The sequence below is a fragment of the Homo sapiens genome, chromosome 6 (genome assembly GCF_000001405.40).
Source record: "Homo sapiens chromosome 6, GRCh38.p14 Primary Assembly".
In the NCBI taxonomy this organism is placed as follows: Eukaryota; Metazoa; Chordata; class Mammalia; order Primates; family Hominidae; genus Homo; species Homo sapiens.
The window spans coordinates 101,902,527-101,923,327 of record NC_000006.12 but is presented as its reverse complement, the minus strand read 5'-3'; the positions used below and the strand labels follow the sequence as shown (position 1 = coordinate 101,923,327).

The following is a 20,801-nucleotide window of genomic DNA, read 5'->3' as shown; positions in this document are numbered from 1 at the left end:
TTTTCCCAGTATTTCAAATTTTAAAGCCACTCTTTTATAAACCAAATTAGAATATGTCCGCTTTGTGAAAGCATTAAAAAAAATCTTACATCCAATCAAAGTTATTTGAATAATGTATCCGTCACTTCAGAGAGCTCAATTTTCTTCACAATAATGTTCCTGACATATGAAAATTCAGAAGATTAAACAAATCATTTTCATCTTTCTAATGCAATTTTAGAACACCCTTGTTTTAATAGCCTATCCTTGACAAACAAAAAAGTGTTTTGTTTGGTTCTCTAAGTTAAACTGACACACTAAACAGAAAGGTTGATTGAAGAGTAAGTTGATTTGTTGTGTCTGACTGAAATAGAACTAGCTTTGGTTTTAGACATTTTATTTTCATTTAAATTCCCTTATTACTTTCATGCTAATGAGAATAGTTTATACACGTTTTTTAAAGTATTTCCAAGTAACAGAATGTTGGCCATCAGTCTTTATACAAGAATGTGTTCTTTAAAAAATATTACCGCTTTAAATTAACTATCTAAAACATTGATTGCTCATGAGAGACAATGTGATTTAGTGGTTAGATCATGAACGGGCTCTGCTGCTAGAGCACCCATCTCCATCCCTCACAGCCATATGCCATTAGTTCCCCTGCCCAAAGCATGAGAAAAATAGGAAGACCTAACCCATAAGCGTATTCTAAAGGATTGTATGGGTTAATGTAGTGCCAGCAGGTGGCAAATATTCAATACTTTGACACAATAATAGCAAGTAAATATTATTAGATGCTATGACTTCAACTATAGTTATTCAACCTCCAATTTTAATTTCTTGATAATTAAAACATATTTTTCCTACTCTTAAAAGTATATTAGCTATTAACATGAAACTGGTCTATAAAAGCTAGATTTAGTTTTCCCATATGACAACTCCTAGAAACATAGCTAAAGATAGTGAGACTGTGTAATTTGTTTGACTGAGATCACTAGTTTTTTCATAGAGTTCCTTAAGCCCTGAAGTATTATATAGATGTTTCAAGGGATTCCATGGGAAATGAGAGGAATGAGACGTGGTTGTAGGGTTGGGGAGATATCCAAATTTATACATATACATTTGAAAAATTTATTTTCTATTTTCTCAGACTATATAATCTGAAGAGGAAGGAAAGAATGGAAGGAAGGAGTGAGGGAGGAAGGGAGGGAAGGAAGGAAGGAAGGAAGGAAGGAAGGAAGGAAGGAAGGAAGGAAGGAAGGAAGGAAGGAAATGGAGAAAGGTAGGAAGGAAGAATCTGGGAACACTGACACTGGTTTCAAGGAAGTCTCTTGTATAATTTATTCAAAAGAGAAAAAAATAAATGTTTGGTAAATTGATATTTAAATTAAAATAATGTACATGTTTTACCTCACATTCTCTGCTTTTTTTCTTAAACTGAAGATATCCAAAAGGATAAAGCTTCCAAAAGATACAAATACAGGCTAAGAAAAATGGTCTCCAATATGAATTTCCAATTTGCTCTTTATGGCAATACTTGGGAAGCTTTTCCTCTTTCTCAATTTGATTCATTACCATTCCTCTAATAGTGAGGAAAGGTAAGTCAATTCTTTTTATCTCCGATTCCCACTTTCAAGCAATATCTCCCAACACACACACACTCTTACTCACTGGCCTTGCATTGCTTTGTCTGTGGTCTACCTTATCTCTCTCACATTAACGTGAACACAACTCTTATTCTAGCTCCATTATTTATTTTTTTAAGCTAAATCATCTCACCCCTCTAAGATTGACTGTCCCACTGAATTCTATCTTCCCTGTTTCCAGATCTTGCTTCAGTATCTGTCCTCATCTTCCAACTCTTTCGGATTCACTTTTTAAATTTAAATCATAATTTAAATCAATTGGCCTCCAAATTAATATTTTTCTGCTCATACAATTATTTGTTTCCCCAAATATATATATTAAATCCTATTCACTCCCTTGACTTAAAGTGAATTTCCACTGTCCTGACAGTAGACTCTCCAATACCACAGTGTCCTATATTAATTCACAATTTTTACTAATTTTTCTTTTATTACATTTCTTATCTCTGTTAATACCATCACCTGCCAGCATCCTTAAATGAACAATTGCAGTGGCCCTGCCACTAGCCCTTAAATCACTTAGGCTTAATATCCTTTGAATCAACTTCCATTCTTTATATTTCTTTGCCTCATAACCCAAAACTCCAGCAGTTGTCAAATTATGTCGGTAAACTTCTAGAATGTCTTTTTCATTTCTTGCCCTTCCCATTTTCTGTTTATTCCCATTGGCACTATACTAGTTCAGGCTGTCATATCCATAGCAGTAGTCTCCTAACTGGACTTTCCACTTTTTATTCAAATTTCTAATCTCTATATACCGCTTCCCAGTTGATTTTAATGTGGAATAATTCCCATAATATCACATCTCTATTTTAAAAATCTTTAATTGTGTCCATTGTCCATATATAAAATATCCAGACTTTAAACATGGAATTCAAGATTCTTCACACTTTCCTTCAAAAACATTTCAAGATTATGATCCACTTTTCTTAGCAAATGTGATCTCTGACCCCCCTTTCCAAAAAAAAAAAGCCCTGTATTTATTCTTATTCATTTCTTTGCTCATATTGTCATTTACCCTGTAATTCCCTACTCTTCACTCCATAGATATTCAAATCCTACACCCATCCTTCAATACTACCCAGTACTACCATTCAGTAACTTTCCTCATTCTCTCTTCATGGAGGATATCTATAATAGAGACTGATGACTATCGCTCAGTATTTGTTTTCCTCCTTGGGTTTTAGTAGTAACATTGATGCCCAGCTAAAACTGTACTTCTCATCTGCTCTTGTTATTCAACCCAATTTGAGCCACTGACATACGATTAGAAGCAATATGCACAACTTTCTGAAAATTCTCATTAAAGACATTTGCCCTGGAATCTTCCTCATTTTAGGAAATGGTGCTAAATAGAGAAGTATTAGAAGCCCCTTGCTGAGGAAAACAGAGCTGTCCCACCAGAGCTGGACTGTTCTCTCGATTGGGGATGAGAGAGAAATAAATGTCCACTAATTCAAGCTATTTTATTTTGGGCTGTCTTCATTAGAGACGCTTAACCACTACTTGTGTAACCCAAGTATATCTTTCTTTTCTCCATATTTATAAAATGAAGAGGGTCAAGTCATACTTATCACAGCCTGGTTTCTTCACTATAAATTAATGCACATCTTTTCCCTTTTCCATTATATTGTAATTGAATACATCCCAATACAGTTCTTTATTTATCTTTGCATCTCCTCAAATTTTTAGCACAAGGTTTTTAAAAAAGTGAGCATTTGAAACATATTTGAATTATTTGTATGTTCCTTTTACTTCTCTCTTTCTTTTTCAAATTCTGGCCAAACATCTAAAATGATTATTCTCCTATATCTTTACACCTAATTTCTCCTTAATCCTAAACTTCCATTGTTTTAAAATCTTGCTTTTAAATCCATTGTCTTGTTCCTCAAATCTACTTTTTAACCATTTTTGAACTTCTAATACCATTATTATTGAATGATGCCTTCCCTTTGAACTTCTGACATGCACCCTTGTTTCTCACTCTCTGCCCCACTAACAGATAATCTGTCATGGCTCTGTTTCAGCTCTCAAAACTTTCCTTCTTCCTTAATCACTTAACACACTCATGACTTTAACTTCTATACTGATGATTACAAAACTCTCTTAATTTACAGCCATAAATTCTCCCTCAATGGATTTCCATCCATCTCTGTAACTTCCTACCTAGGTAGCTCACCATTACCTCATGCTTAAAATGTTTAAAATTGAACCAAATAACTTCCCCCATATTATCTCTGTTTCCCAATTTCTCCTTTTCTAAATTGATGTGTCACTTCTCTGAGCTCTTGAGACTTAAAGTGTATCTTCTTTTACTATTTTTACTTAAATACAAACTATGCTTAAGACATGTCAACTTTTTAAAAATGTATCTTTGATTCATCTTACCGACTTCATTGCACTTTTGTTTCCATTCTTAATCACGGACTTTCTAAAACTGTCTCTACTTGATTCTCCTTTTCTCCATTTTTGTCTTGTAAAACTATCCTCATATTAAGTTATGCATCATGAAACTCCCCTTGTGTAGAATCAATATCTATTAACTACTGAATTATTAGGTTTAACTTTCTCTGTCTCTGAATTTCAAGGCTCAATATAATATGACTCAATATTTTTAACTTTATTCAAACTATTATGTAGACTGGCCCATTGTCTCATTATGCCTTTGTTTATGCTGTTTCTATTAAGTGAAAAGTCCTCTTCCTCTTCAGTTAATTCACCCAACTGGCTTCTATGCTACTCCTTTCTGAAATTCCATAGTGTTTGCTTTTGCCCAAAAGTTGATCTGTTTCAAATATCTATTTATCACCTACTGTCTTTTGCTGTACTAATGTGATTTCATGTATCAATTTTGTATTTCCAGAGTTTCATGAGGCCTTTGAGAGATGGACTTTTAAAAATCATTCTCCTCCTCCTCATTATTATTAGCACTTGCATTACTTCAGTGCCTAAAAGAGGCATAATAGAATGACTACAAGTTTTGAGACTGGAAGGTTTGAATTCCAGCCAAATACATACTTTGTATGTGGTGACAGATCACTAAATCTCTCTGAGCTGAATATTTATTTCTAAAGAGGAGGCGGGAAAACTCAGCATGAGAGATAATATGTGCAAAGCCGTTTTCAAACTACATATTGCTACATAAATGTTAGCTGAAAGTATATAATCCTTGTTTAAAGATTTCTTACTCTAGACCTTTAGAGCAAAGAAATAATTTAGAAAATATATAAAATAATCTACTACTCATTGAGGGAATACATTACCATTTTTTGAAAAAAAAGCTAATTCAACATTAATTTGAACACTTTGTCATATCACAGGCAAACTACATTACAACTAATGAAGAGTACAAAAATGATTTTTATAACATATATAATTTTAAGCCAATTAGTGATATATTTTACACATTTGAACACTTTTTTTCCTTAAGCTGAAATGGCCTTTCTAGAATGTGTCCTATTTATATGTCAGAATTTAAATTCAATATGTGTTTATTTTTTCATCATCATCATTATTACATAACAATCCTCAACTTTCACGTGTTATGAAAAATTCAAAGCAAATCTTGTTTAAAAATTTAACAGCAGTTAACGGTAATATTCTGGTTTTTTTGTTCTACTTAATTGCTTTGTTGACATATTAATTCCCCACCTCATTTTATAGATGGGAGTAAATGGATTGGAATAGGGAAAATAAATAGCTTTTCACATTAATTTGTCTTAAACAAAATAGACACAATCATTTTCAAAATCAAGTATAAACAAACATTCTAGTACGAGGAATACAAAGTTTTTTTTTTCATTACATACTATTTTCATATTTACTGTGACTTTGTTTTTCTTTTCATGGGCATATAGTTAAACTAATAATGTGAAGACGTGATCTCTTACTACTTTTTACTTTAATTTCCAAAGTAATTTAAAAATTCAAAATTTGATATTCAAATTTTCAATTGTTACTTCTGTATTTGTGGGGAAAAAAGAATATTTTGAAGGATGATTACTATTTGCTAAGGAGTGGTACACTTTGTTGAATAAAAATATAAAATTCTCAAAAGAAAATACAGTAGTCCTTCTTAATAAGAGAAGTTACATCATCCAAACTTAAAAAAAAAAAGGCAAGTGACAAGGTAATGCTAACTTGGTTATTTAGGAGAGAAATGGAAAACAGGTAATTGCTACACTAAAAACCCATATACGTTAAAAACTTTCACAGAATGACTATAAGCCATGTTTTCAGGCTCAACTCTGGATTTTTTTAAAATCATCCTACACTTCAGCTATGCTCAACTTTTCAGCATTATTTAAATGAGCCATGTGCTTTTTCAACATAGGTGATCAGGCCAGTTTGGTGCCAACACAAGTGAGCATGGATCCACTGGTGTGTTTGGCATTTTCTTGAGAAGCAGAACGTGGAAATGGACTTCATAGTTGTGTCTCCAGTACAAAAGAAAATAGCCAGAAATGAGAGAGTATTTTTAGAAATTGGATCTAGATGGACTGAGAGTTGCTAGGGTAACTCTACTTCTAGGGTATGAAATTACTATTAGTTTAACCCATAAATGGCCTGAGAAGGGCCAGTTATAACAACTATCATACTTGGCAGAAAATTAGATTAAATGTCAGGAAGAAAGGAAATGAGGTCTCTACAGGCTTATCAGATAATAGACAACCTTACCACCTATCTGTTAAGTACAATCTGCTGAAATTATGCCATTTTCATGACATCTGTAGTGGGATCAGGCATAAAATGGGAACATCTCAAGCCTTTGTAAAGCAGACTTGCCTGCGACTAAAATTGTTTAAAACAAGCCATGAAAGAATAAGGTGAGGCATTACAGAGATGGCAAATTTAAATAATAAACTATTGAAAATGTTACATATAATGAATAATAACATCACCTGATGTTTGTGTCACACTTGCCAATTATGAAACAAACTTAGCTATATTGTCTCATTCTGAACTGTAACAAATGACTTAAGAAAACTATTACATTAGTATAAAAATTCAGTTTTGTATAAATCAGGTATCTCTGAAGTGCACAGAAGGTTTGAGTCAGGTCTGTAATGGAGATCGCCTGTGAAAATGTTCCTACTCTCTTATTGCAATCCATTCCAGTCAGCATTTCAATCTTTATCATTTCCCATAAAACAAGAAAAGGGAATTCCTATGATCTAATTTATTCCTAATTATAGAGGAATACTATTTCTAGTTTTTCCTACTTTCCAATCAATGAGTAATTCCTTAATTTTCACTCGAATAGAAGACTTCCTGCTTCATCACTTTTTAACATATTTATATCCTTCACTATGTAGAACCAAATCATGCACACTGAGAGCATTCAATAATTAAGATTTGGTCATAAAGTCTGTGATATTATCAGAATACAAAAAACGTCACAAATGCTCAAGAAAAGATCATGCTTTAGTTAATAAGTGTATTAACTAATTTCTATTAAAAATATTATGGAATAAATGTTATTTTTTATTTACTGCCATATCAAGCCTAATAATATAAATATTTCAAATGTTAAAATTAAATAATATATGCATAGATATGAAATCCTTAAGGAACATTCAAATTTACCTGAAGCCTAAACTTTACAGTATTATGTTTGTACTATATTTTAACATTGCCACCTGAATTTGAATTATTTTTCACATGGAATAGAATATTGCTATTTTTTACACTGTTAGAAAAAGTTATCTCTTTAAATCCATGAAGAAATACTAAAAGCAAGAGCCCCAGCAATTTTTCTGAAAGATCACAGTATCTCTCAAATGAAATAAATCAAATTAAAGGAATTTAACTAAACATATTTGAAGAGAGGGGGAAAAAATACCTTCCGGGATAGATTGCTTATTTTTCAAAACCATTAATTTTTAATTGACATTGATTTCAGAAAATAAAATATTAAGAAGTAAGCTTAAAACATTGTATGTGTCTACGATAAACAATTATCAAACATAATGTCATGTAACTTTGGGGAAGGCACCATATCAAACTCACTGCCATTACATTCTTTTATAATATCCATATGAAACTCAAGGATTCACTACAAGAATCTTCTGTAAAAATATCCTTGCCACCCTGAAGTTTCGTCTGTGCAGTTATCTTTTATAATGTTATTACAAGTCTAAGAAATAATTTCCTAAAATACTGTTTTATTCCATAGTAAATAAAATAAAGGTTTCTTTTCAGTGGCATGCTCTGCAAACATACCAAATTATCCTGTGAAACTGTGTGATCTTCTTATATTCAGCAAGTACCACTTCACTTTTAGGTTTTATTATTTGTTTGCTTGTTTTTTTAATTTTTTACTTTCTTAATGAATAATAAACAATCTTCTTAGCCTGAAAATTTTTAGTCATCATTCCAAATACGTAGTTTATGTAACCTGCATGGCAATTTCTTTCAATAAGAATGGTTGTTATTCTGTTATCAGTTGCTATTATACATCTTCTGTTGTTAGTTATAAATAACATATATCCCAAAATATTTTTATTGTTCAATAAATTATCCATATTACTTAAAAAGTAATTGTGTGTGCATTAGTTTTGAGTCACACAGCCCGTATCATTTTTTCTTTAATTGTACATATTTAAGTACTTTTAGAGTTAGTTTCTAAGGAAAAGATTTTCCTAGCTATAATTAATTTCAGTTACCTTCCAAATCATTAATGAGCAGGATGTTAGTTAAGGCTATAATGCGTTTTCTATACTTAGATGTAAAAGGCTTCATAATGTAAAATGATATGGTGATGTTTTGAAGTTGGATGAAGTTAAACTATGGTTAAGAAAGGAATGAAAGTAATAAAACATTTAGAAAACACTTTTATGTAAGCTAAGAAATAATATATCAGTTTACAATTTAGGAAGATGGTTTTAAATAAAATAAACACAACTGAATGTAAATATATTTGGTTCAATTGAATATAACTGAAAGCTCAAGAAACCTGATATCATACACTCATAATCCCATTTGATAAGAGTAAATAAAAGTGAATGCAGCATATTAGCTAGTTAGCACTATGCCAAAAGGTTTCCAATTAGAAAGAGTAACACTTGGGTGTGGTGGGGGGGCAACACATTGTCAGGATCAGTAATACGACTCACACTCCAAACCAAAGTAACTCCCACATTGCAAGGACTATAATGTCGACAGATTCTTAATATAGTCATTATCATCCATACTAATATACAGCTAGCCTATTTGCTCTTTTCTTGGAATAGCCCCTTGCCGATTTTGGATTAGCTAGAATATCTATATAGCTGAATTCACTGGTATCTCACCAGTGCTCAACCCATTCCATATTACATCTGACCACAGATAGATGTAACTGGGGGTAATGCTATACTTCATACTCAGCATGACCAATATCAAATTGATCATGCTCTCCATACCAAACTGACAACCTGTCTATATTCAACCAATGTGGCAGGTAATCCAAGCATTGTCCCACAATCCAGATTAGAATTCTTAAAATCATCTATCTTTTTCTTAAATATCCACATCTAGTACATCACCAAAGTTTATTGCCTATTTTTTTCAAAATAATTCCTGAATTTGCCTTTCCATTTTTATTTCACACTCCCCTTATTACTACAATTTTTGGTGGGCTCTAATTACCTCCAAACCAACACATCTCCCTATCTTTTGATTCTCTCACCTATATCTCTTTTGTCTTTTCTATTTATGACTATTAAGTAAATCTTCTCAAACTTTAATACTTTTTATTCATTGATCAAGAATCTGCAAGAAACCAATATTTCTTTTTTATAAACTCTAACCTCTTCTGCCCAATATTCAAGGCTTTAGAAAGCTGAGTCATATCATTTTTTCTACTATGCTCTAACAAGAGTCTTATGGTTTATCTAAATAGATCAAAAATATCTCATACATGACACTCATATAACATCTTACATAGCATTCATATTAAGATCTCTTTACTTTGTTAATGTTCTTCCTCCCAGGAAAAATGTTCCTTTATTACAGCTCATTAATATTCTACTTATATTTTAAAGCATAATTCACTTATTGGATGATACACTCCTTGAAAGGTAAATATGCTACTCCATATTTATTTTAGCCTCCTCCACCTAAAATGCTCACTTCATTATTGCCCATTTGATATCATTTTCATATGTTAAAGCCTTAATTCACTTACTAATAGATTAAATGAATGAAGTATGTCATTTTAATTTTACATCTCTTACAGCATTAGAACAATACTGAAAATAGAATAAGTGCTCAAAAATACTATTGTTTCATTGGGTCCATATACACAGAAAAATGAAATTCTTTAGCACTTTGTTCAGTGTTATGTAGAATGTAGATGCCAGTGGATGTAGAAGATTCAGAGCAGAGCTGCTTTTTCCATGAATAATTATCATACTAATGCTTTTCAATAAATTGCACACAGGAGTTCCTTGGGCATAATAGAGGTATTATAGAGTTAATAAAACAATCACTAAAATGTATCTGTTCTTCCGTGTGTATTTTATTAAGCGAGAGCAATGTAGTAATATTGATAGCTAGTAAATTTTGGACACTTTGGACAAAGAGTATTTGTATGAATTCCTTGTTTACCCAGTCTACCTGTCTTTTTTGTGATCTACTTCTTGAGCAGATTTATTTTGTATTTAAACTACTGATGGAATCAATCTTACTGCTTTAAATTCAAAAATAAAATATATCCAGAATCATACTATTTCTGTGTTTTATCGAGTAACATATTTTTCTGAAAAATAAACAAAATATCAGAATGATTATTAACCTATAAAGATAAAGAATTTTTAAATGAGCTTTGCATTACTCTCATCTTAAGTGCAAGTTTCTTCAACAGAATGAGTGGTGGGATCTAAAATATGACTGGTTTGTAAACACTACCTCATAAGATGCATTTCCTTTAAAAAATAAAGAGAAATATTAAGAACCTCAGGCCACTGCTGGATGGCCAGCCTCAGTGGAAACAGCACTCAGAAAAAGTGGGAACAAGGTATTTTTTAATGACACAAGGAAAAACAACATGAAACTAGATGAGGTGGCGTGGAAATTCTAAGAAACAACAGATCTCTTCATGAAACTGAGGAGTAGGCACAATAATACCCACCCCTGTTAGCAGGATTTTGGCTATCAATGAAAGCACTGCTTTTAAATGTGCACGAAGAGAAGCGAGTCTTAGCCATTATTCAGCCTTTTCAAGCCCGGCTTTCCCACCACTGGTAATCATTGTTGATAACATAATCTTTGAGCATGAATTAAGGAGCTGCACGTAAATACTAAGAGCTGACAGGGATGTAGGCCTGAGACTGGGAATCCCTTTCACACTTATTAATGCTAAGTAGTGGGAGCTAAAACACTTCTTAAGAGAGTCTGTTAGAGTTTTTTGCTGCCTTGAAAACGAGTTTTTTAAAGGTTCTGCTCTTCCTCTGATTACTTGTTCTATTTGCCAACCATTTTTTTAAATAATGTTTTAGGATGTCTGTGCAAGTTAGCCGTATACCCAATAAAAAATATAATTGATAGTTGTCTTGATACAACAGATTATATAGTCTTGTCTATAGTGCTGATTTCTCTCTCTCGGTCTCTGTGTGTGTGTTTGTGTGTGTGTGTTTGTGTCTGTGTGTGTGTGTGTGTGTGTGTGTGTGTGTGTGCGTTGCCCCTGGTAATCACTAAAGCTTCTTTCTAGAATTGATAACCCACAAGTTTATTATCTTTTTGAAAATAAATCCTTACTTATTATCTATTCACTCACAAGGGTAGACATTACAAGGGTAATTACTTAAGCAGGACAGGATTTTGTAAAACCTTTATTATAATAATGCAATTAAAGCTCATGATTTTCAACTTACATACTTAAATTATGTGTGTGTATTATTGTGTAATAAGATGAGTCACTTCACCTCACTTTTCCTCCCTGAAAAATGATCATATTAGACTAAATGTTCTCAAGTTATTTTTACTCTTTGAATGTTGTTTTACGTAGAAAACAAACAATGTTTTGTGAGAACTTTGGATGGGACCATTATTTGAATAGTATTAAAGGCAAATTTTTGAGAATAGGGGCTTCCAGTAAGTTAAGATTCAATATGAGGTAAAGGAACGGCAATGTTAAAATAGTTGATTAAAAATAAATCAAAGTGTTACAAATAATGATTACCTTTAAGTTTAAAGGCTGTCTAGGATAATCTTTAAGTCAGCATCTCCCAAAATAAAACATTCTGAACCAGTAGCAGATACAATAAAGCTACCCAAATACATTTACAAGAGTGGATACATATTTTCCTGAATTTTATAAAACTATAAATAATAATATTCTTGATTCAGTAAAAATCAAGAATCTATTGATGAAATGTAATACCAATTTGGTCTGATCATTTGACTGATTCATGTAATGAGGCAAACAGTTTTGTAATTGTGACAGGCACCTCATATTGCTGGGGAGGCTACAGTTAAAATTCTTGGCTATAGCCCCAACTTCCTGATTGGCATTCATTATTCCTTCTTTCTTCCTCTCTTTACATGCTTACCCATCTCAAACTAGCTCTGACTTTTCCAGATGTAGTTTATCCTCTCCTTACCAGCTCATTTCTCCCTTGTTTACTGTATCCCCAACAGAAGACAAAACAGCCCTTACATTTTATATGGTAGAAATAAGAAAGCAATAATACAAATGCAGTGTTTGTTTGGCTGCCTCTCTTTAAGGGGCCACTATACATATATGTGAAGTAAATCCACTGAAGGGTAAAACAAAAATTATCTTAGATAAAGATACTTGAAAAATTATTTATCTTAGATAAAGATACCTGAAAAATTATTAGCCAATGCTTGTGTATGTGTGTGTGTGTGTGTGTGTGTGTGGTGTATGTTGGTATTATTTTACTGTGACCCCCTTTAGTTATAGTCACCTAATTCTTTTCCTGTAATTTCTATGGCATTCTGTAGCTCTCTAATGATCTTCTTTGTTTCAATTTCAAGATAAATGGTAAGATCTATTATTTAAAAGGCAGATCTATTATTTTATTTGTATAAAATAAAAAACAGAGAATACACCTGAAAGTCATATGATTCACATGTACAACATGCTCAAATATACAATATGATTAGGTCTATGTTCTTTCCTTATAAATAAGTACTATGTATTTACCAATGAAAAACCTCACAAAATTATACATTGCTAACACTTGATTTGAACTGATGACATTCATATTTAACTATTTGGCTTCTATCTCCTTTCACTTTAAGAATGGAAGAATATATTTTTTCTTATGTTATTACTTATGGCCAAAGCAAACATTAGAGAGTATAATAATAGTAAATTAGTAACAATTGACTCAAATTTAAAATCAAGATTTAAAAAAACCAAACAAAATCCCCCAGTCACTTGGGCCATATTGCTAGATAGTCATAAAAATGACTGTTTAATTATAATATTTTAACTTGCAGATAATAGTTTTTAGTGCAAAAACTGACTAAACTGTTTAGCATATACAGCATGTTTATGCATTTGATTATAAGCAGACATTCTATTTTTAATTTAGAAACATATACCACTGCCAATATTTATTAAATGTTTCTGATTCTTTATAAAGATATTTAAAATAATTTAAGTGATTCTGTTTAATACTCAAATTCTATAACTACATATACTAAGAGTTTTAATAATACATTATTTTTAAAACAATTACTAGAGATTTTATACAACACTTCTATCAGTTTATCTGTTCTCAAAACTCATAACATTTCTGATTTTATCAGATTTTTATTTCTGATAGTGCTGCATTATATTATTTTACATAATTAAAATTTTTTATTCTCTACATGTAGATGTTAAAAATTGCATTATTTCTTAATGCCTTTGAGAATTGTTTATGAATTCTGGTTAATGAGAATTAATCTATATATATCTATTCATTGTGTTCTGTATTACACAATGCATATATATCTGTATGTGTGTATATGTACACAGATATACAGAAACACACTTACACACATACACACATTATTTTTTTCAAAAAGGCAATGAACATATTTTATGCATTTCCCAAGGATGCTTTTTTCTTCTTCATTTTTTATTCATTTGAGGAGCTTTACTTATCCAAAGCCAATAAAACAGGAAATGTGCTCACGAAAGAAGGCCAAGAAGTCCATCTGTGACTACTCATTTCTTTGAGCTATCAGTTATTTAATTTCTCAAAATATTTTTTCATCTCAAGCTTGACTATCTACTTCACTAAACAAATAGAACTGTTCCAACTTCTTATAGCAGTAGACACTTTTTTCCCTAAATCCCAAATGATCTTTAAAAAAAAAAAAAAGAAAAAGAAAACCCTATCTTCCTTCAGCATCCAAAAATTTTTTACTCACTCTGAAACCCTCATTGCAGGCATTTAAATTATTCCTTCCTGTTCCTATTTATAGAGATTTATAGGACATTATAACAATAATCATGTTTATATATTTTTTTCTTATTTGGTGTACTTCAGTAAAATCTGTCCAAATATTTACCATCAAAATCTCTTTTATACTGATTATGAGGTCAATTATTTTTATTAATAATATTTTATCCCTGTGTAACAGCTGGTAGTACCTTAATAAAAGTTACAGAATAACCTTTGTGTTTTTTACTTTGAAGTTGGGTTTTACTAATAATTTCAAACACTGTTTAAAATTATTTTTTTGAAGAGAATCCTTTAATTTCTATACTAGTTGAGAGCCCTATTTCCAGTCCTCTTGCACCTTTGACTGTGTGATCTCTAGTATGTCTTTCAACCACTCAGTGCCTCAGTTATCTTATGTATAAAACAAGGGAGGGGCATAAAAACACCTTTTCATTCCAAAAGAATTTTATGATGTTCTCAATATGATTGATATTTCATTTGCCTTAGTTTGTCTGAATGTGCTATGAACATTATATCTCCATTTTTATCCTTCCTATCTTATCTGTCTTTTCATAGAAATATTTTTACTTGAATGTATGCACTCATTTGTTAAACATATTACACTTTGCAAATTTATTAATTGAAAGACAGCAAGTTTAATAAATTAGCCTACATTATTTTATATAATTATTTACTATTTCTTGTAAGTTCTAATATCTATTTACTCTCTTCCTCTTCCCTGGATCTTTTTTATGGTAACATTAACTTATAGGTCCTAAAATTTTTATATAAATATAGCATTATAGGTAAATATATTTATCTGTAATGTACTAAAAAGATAATAATCAAGGAATAGGTAAATTGACTACAACAAAAATCTTTCCTCCTTCAAGTTAGCTTAGATATAAACATTCATATATTATCTAAGCTGCATGAAGGATAATAAGGAAAAAGTTCAATAAATACTAGTATGTAAAAATATTAGGCTGGTGCAAAATAATTGTGGTTTTTGCCATTAATTTTAATGTACTTTTGGCAAAACCGTAATTATTTTTGCACCAACTTACTAGCTGCACATAATAAAATGACTCAACAATTTCTTATTAAATCTAGTCCAGCTTCAAATTTTTATTTATATTTTAAAACAACCAAATACAATATAATAAATAAAATTTTCTTCTAAATTTAATCTTTACTAAATGACAGCTCGGACAGAATGATGTAGGACTGAAAAAACAGTGGCCAAATCATGCTGAAAAGCTCCTATCAGTAACTACTGAAACAGTAGGAAGAGAAAGAAAGGGGAAATTCAGAAATGTGCTCTTCATTCTTACAGAAAATGAAGAAGGAGGAGGAAGATAAAAGGGGAGAGGAGGAAGAAAATTCCAAAGACCCTGAAAAACAGTGAGTGAATGCACAAAGATTAGTGTCTACTTAATGTCTTAAAGGATAAATGAGGAAATAAGTGAAAAACTAAAATGTAGCATATTGCTACACACTACATAGCTGATAGAACTCTAAAGTTTATGTCGTAGTCATATTTTATGGATTGAAACCATTTTAAGATCTTCTAAAAGAAGAAAGAAAAAAAGATAAAAAAGAATAACCTAATACCTAAAGTAACATTAAATATTATGAAGAAACAGATTCCTCTTAAAAACCGCAAAACCCAATGTTAGCTACGAGTATTAAAGTCCTGCATGCTCAAGACTTAAACTTTGAACTTTACTTACAGTTGTGAAAGTAAAGTTCTGTCACTGGGTGGCTAAATGTTGCTTTCGTACTGTGGTGCACTGCAGGCGGTCACCAATCTGGCTCCAGTTCTATGATTAAATATGGATTCTTGTTAGGTCATCTTATTTCTTTAAGTTTCAGCTTCTTCATTCAAGCATGAGGTTCCAATAATGATATGCTCAGCTTTTTTTTTTCTTTTAAATCAGACAGGGGCCTAGAACTCCATAGGTTTATTTGAAATGCTGTATGCACTTTTATCGTTTTTAATCACACAATTAAGTTTCCCTAAATGTCTTAAAGCATTCAGATGATGTTTATAAACTATTCTTGTTATTCCACTAACCTAATTTGGTCTATTTAAAAGTTTTTCAAGAACTTAAGACTTTGTATTAGAAAATAAAATACCTATGTCCCAATGTCTTATTTAAATGTTATATATCTAATATATATTCCTTAACATGTTGTACAGTTGATACACTTCTTTATACCTCTGCTTTCAAAATATCATATCCAGAAGATTTTCAGAATTACATTCAGCAGTTTCATTAGCTTTATACTGCAAATCTCTGAGAAACTGTTAGCAAAATCTTTATGATTGTAGTCATTTTACCATGTTATTCAAAATGCTTCTTGCCTTTGTACAAAGTTCACAACTGTGCAACAAGTGATAAGTTTGTAAAATAACATATGAGGAAAAATAGCAATCAACAATTTGTTGTTCTTTGCTGTGCTACCACACTCTAGTGCGGACCAGTATTTATGAGGTCAAGTAAATCAAATCTCAGGTAGACAACAGGTGGTTAATAGAGGCAGAAACTACAAATAAAATTGCTACTTGTTGTACTCCGGTGTATTGTTTTTAGATACATTATAGACAAATATACCATTAGGATTACATCCTCTGCAGGCAATTCTCAACACTGAAATGCCATCCATTCTTATTAACTACTTCTTGAGCCTGCTTTTTATGCCTTTTACAGTGCTATCTTCAGGTGGACTAATTGAATAGCATCTGGTGCCTTCCCATGTACATTTGTCCTTTCCCAATAATAAATTTTAAATCCCTCCACTTAGACAGAACATGCATTACGTTTGCATTTCTCCACACTTCTTAGTGAGAGCATACTCAAAAATTTGGGAGTAAATGGTTTTAAGTCTCTGGAGTTTACAGTCTTTATCCCAAGGTTTAAACACACACAAACACACACACACACACACAGATCTTGTTTTATAGTTATGATTCAAGAAAGTTTAATAATCTGCAGGAAATTCTTTCACACAAAAGTCCTTCAAATTCCCTGGGTCAAAAATGAAAAGAGAAATTGCTAATTGTCTCTAGACAGGCAATTTTAATATCACTACAGTCAAGCTTTCAATATTCTAGGCTCACATAGGAGCGGAATTCACTAGTTATTTTCTAGCTTTTTGTACTATGGTACATGTATTCCAAAAGAAGTAGAACATTAATCATTAATTTCTCTCAATGAGTGGAATTTTTGAAACAATATTTTGTATATGATTTATTATACAATAAAATATCTAAACGCACTTTAATATTTGAGTTAAGAAAATCAAACTATTTTTAGTTGCTGTATTAAACTACAGCATATTTTCTTTAGTTGCTCTAGTAAAAACTACTTTTATTATCCAGAATATTTATTCATAAAGTCATCATTTCCCCATGTAGTACTATTCCATTTAATCAAACAATAAATAAAAATTCCATTTTTTATTTCTGAAAGAGTAGGTATAGTGACTGGCAGGTTATTCCAAATATATACATATTAGAAATTATGAATGAGCGAGACATTAAAAAATAAATTTTGCACACTGATTTATATGCTAATACTTATTGATAAATTGATGCATGGATGAATAGAAATAGGTAGGTAGATGATTGATAGATGTAGTAGTAATAAATTTTAGGTGGTGAAAAGATCACTAAATAAAAAAACAAGTGCATTAATGTTTAGGATGGAATATGAATTTATATAATCTCAATCTAGCTATAAATTATGATAATCAGTTTAATGTTTTGGATACATGCTGTTTTGTGTGTTATGATCACAAACTAAATAAATAATATAACTTTACTAACTTTAAGAAACAAACAACACTTGGTCAAATTTGAGAAAGAATAACTGCTATTTATGAAGCTTTTGTCTAACGACATATTTTATTTGGAGTAAGCTAAAACTAAGCTATAACACTTCCCATTAACTATAAATGAAATTGTATAAAAGGAGTCAGAAAGCTGCAAATGAAAGATTAAAATGAGTGAATGCCTTGCAGGATGGACCATATAATCCTTTGATAATTGCATTCATTTTAAGATGAGCCATTCAAAATTGCTACCTGTCCAACCTACACAAGATGAGCAAACTAGAGACATGAAGATAAAAATTGCTAGTTGTCTCTAAACAGACCATTTTAATATCACTACAGTCAAGTTTTAGACACTCTAGACTCACATATGAACTGAATTCACTACTTCTCTTTTAGCTTTTTGTACTATATACTTGTATTCCAAAAGTAGAACATTAATAATTGTCATTTCTTGTCTAACATGTAAATGAGATTTAAAATACAATGACCTTCTTTCAGTTCTGCTTGTACATTGTTTGTCATAAGCTAGACTAATAAGACTCCAACAAAAAGATTATAATCGTAAAAAATGTATAGTTTCACAACTGTGGATGAAATTAAAATCTACATAATTAATCCACCTTGAGTACTGATCATTTATAAAGAATAGATAACTAATTTCATTCTTGCAATAAACACAAAATAAATTATCAACTGTTTTCTAACATACTTTCTCCTTTACCACAGAAGGTAATAATACTAACAAAATTGGACTTTACATTAATCATATGCTTGCTTCCAAATTATGATTTGACAGTATTAAAAAGGGGAATTTGTTTGCTAGGTTGTGAGGATTTTTCCCAACTTTCTAATGATTTCATAAATTTTTATGCATTTAGAAAATTCTTAAGTATCCAATGATTATCTTTTTGATTAATAACAAAACTTGAATTTCTGACCAAGTTCACTAATAAATAATAACAGGTTGTCCTAAGACCAGCCATTTTTTTAAAAAATTAAATGACTTTAATTTTATAACTAAATGTAAATTTACACATTTATTGTATGTACTTTCTTAAAAGAAGATATTAAAAATTGAAGCAATGATGTTGTTTCAGTAATTTTTTTAAAAACTTCAAATTGTTATCTATACACAAGTTCTATGAAGTCATAAACTATCACTTAAATAGATGTGACACGATCTTATGCTTCCATGTACATCAGCAAAATGAGCACTGATAATTCCATTAGGAATCAGGAGACTAGATTCTTAGTCTTGTTACAAGTGATTTAATCAATTTAGAATGTGTACGATGAAGATAAAAAAATTGAAGTGAACTTATATGTTAAAGCAATGCTTCACATCTTTGATTCAGAAAGTTAACTAATAGAGAACATAAAATTAGAGATAATAGATTAACAGAGAAAAAAAAAAGGCCCCATGGCTAAGTGTTGGGGCAATGCTAGTTCAACAAACCTAATCAGATTTCTTTATTGCAAGAATTTTCAGAGCCTTTAATTTGTTAATAGTGAATTCCTAAAAGAAAACTCTACTACATAGTTCTCCTGACCTTATTTGATCATAGAGATATTTTCCCCTAGAAACAGCTTAGTATCTGATGATTTGTAAAAGCTCTCCTAAAATATGCTATGATGCATTTATATTATATGGGCATTATGAAGGGTATCAATTTACCAACTATTATTTTTTTTTTTGCTCCAACTTCTTCATGGCTATAGAGAAGTTGGGAAAAACATTGATGTATTTGAATATCCCACATCAAAATAAATCAGAGTTATTTTCTACAACATTAAAAATTTACATTTTGGTAGCATCACTTAAAATATTAGAGTAATGATTCATGTTTCTTACACAAAACTAGTTCGGCAAATTTGAATTTCAACAATATAAACCAGAACCAGAAAGAAAGTATAACAGAAATCTAAGACATGAAATACTTGCACTTACTATTCATACGTTGTTTACGTTTCATTAACTTGTTTTAAAGAAAATGTGGTTTAAAATAACAAACAAGAAGGGAGCAGTTATACTGCTTAGAGACAGGCATTCTGATAACTGATGACAATGAAGGAAAAAGAAAATTTCAGAAATGAGCACTTGAAATAAAAATTTTGAGAGAATTGCATGAGTGATGAATCATTACTTCACAATTCAATAAATCCCTATGGGCAGCCACTGCCAATAACATACCCAATAATATCACTTTTCTAACAAAAGAACTGAAGTGGCAGTAAGCTCAGATAAAAGAAAGCCATTTCTGCAGCCTCTCTTGCAGCTAGGGCGATCTAAGCAAAATAATTCTAGTTAATAAGATATACAGAGAGGAAGCATCTCCTTTCTGAATAAAAAGGTGAAGACTTTTGCAGGTTGCTCTTTCTCTTTTCTCCCTTCTTCCCAGCCTGGGATACAGATAAAATGCCTGGCCTTTCAATGGGTATCTTGTAACTATGAGGATAAAAGTCTCTAAGAATGATGTAGCAGGTAGATAGAGGTGTTAGGTTCCTTGATAACACCTTTCAGCTGCTGTTTCAATTTTGTCTAATTTGAGACTATGAACACAATCATCCCCTATTAATTCAAACAACATGGTGAAGTTTCCTATTACCCGCGAGGGAACCTATTTCTTCTAATACAGGCCCTGAAGCTATTACTGAACTTTCAGGTAAAAATAATTGATGTTTATAATATTGCAACTAAATTATCTTAAAGAGTTTTATTCCTTTAAGAACTTTTGGTTAAAAATTATAAGCAGGAAAGAATATGTTGTAGTTAAAAAAATTTCCATGTAAATAGTTAAATTTTTGTAATTTAGTATTGAAAACTCAATAATTAAGAAAACATTAATATTCACAATGACTCATTCCCTGAAAACATCATATAGCTAAAGTCTTCCTGGTATAATTTCTCTTGTCCATAGATATGTTCATATACAGTTAACTCAAAAATGTTATG

General features: G+C 31.0%; 1 protein-coding gene across 8 annotated transcripts in view; it reads right to left on the bottom strand.

Annotated features, from left to right (window-relative positions):
• Positions 1-20,801, bottom strand: part of GRIK2 (glutamate ionotropic receptor kainate type subunit 2) — a 676,376-nt gene that overhangs the window by 146,756 nt on the left and 508,819 nt on the right. The window contains exon 13 of one of the 8 annotated variants that reach the window (XM_017010782.3): positions 15,752-15,831. The exons of the other annotated variants lie outside the window; for them this stretch is intronic. Coding sequence (XP_016866271.1) covers positions 15,774-15,831 — 58 coding nt within the window. The 3' untranslated portion in view covers positions 15,752-15,773. Of the gene's footprint in view, positions 1-15,751; positions 15,832-20,801 lie in introns of those variants that run through there. 8 annotated transcript variants of the gene reach the window in all.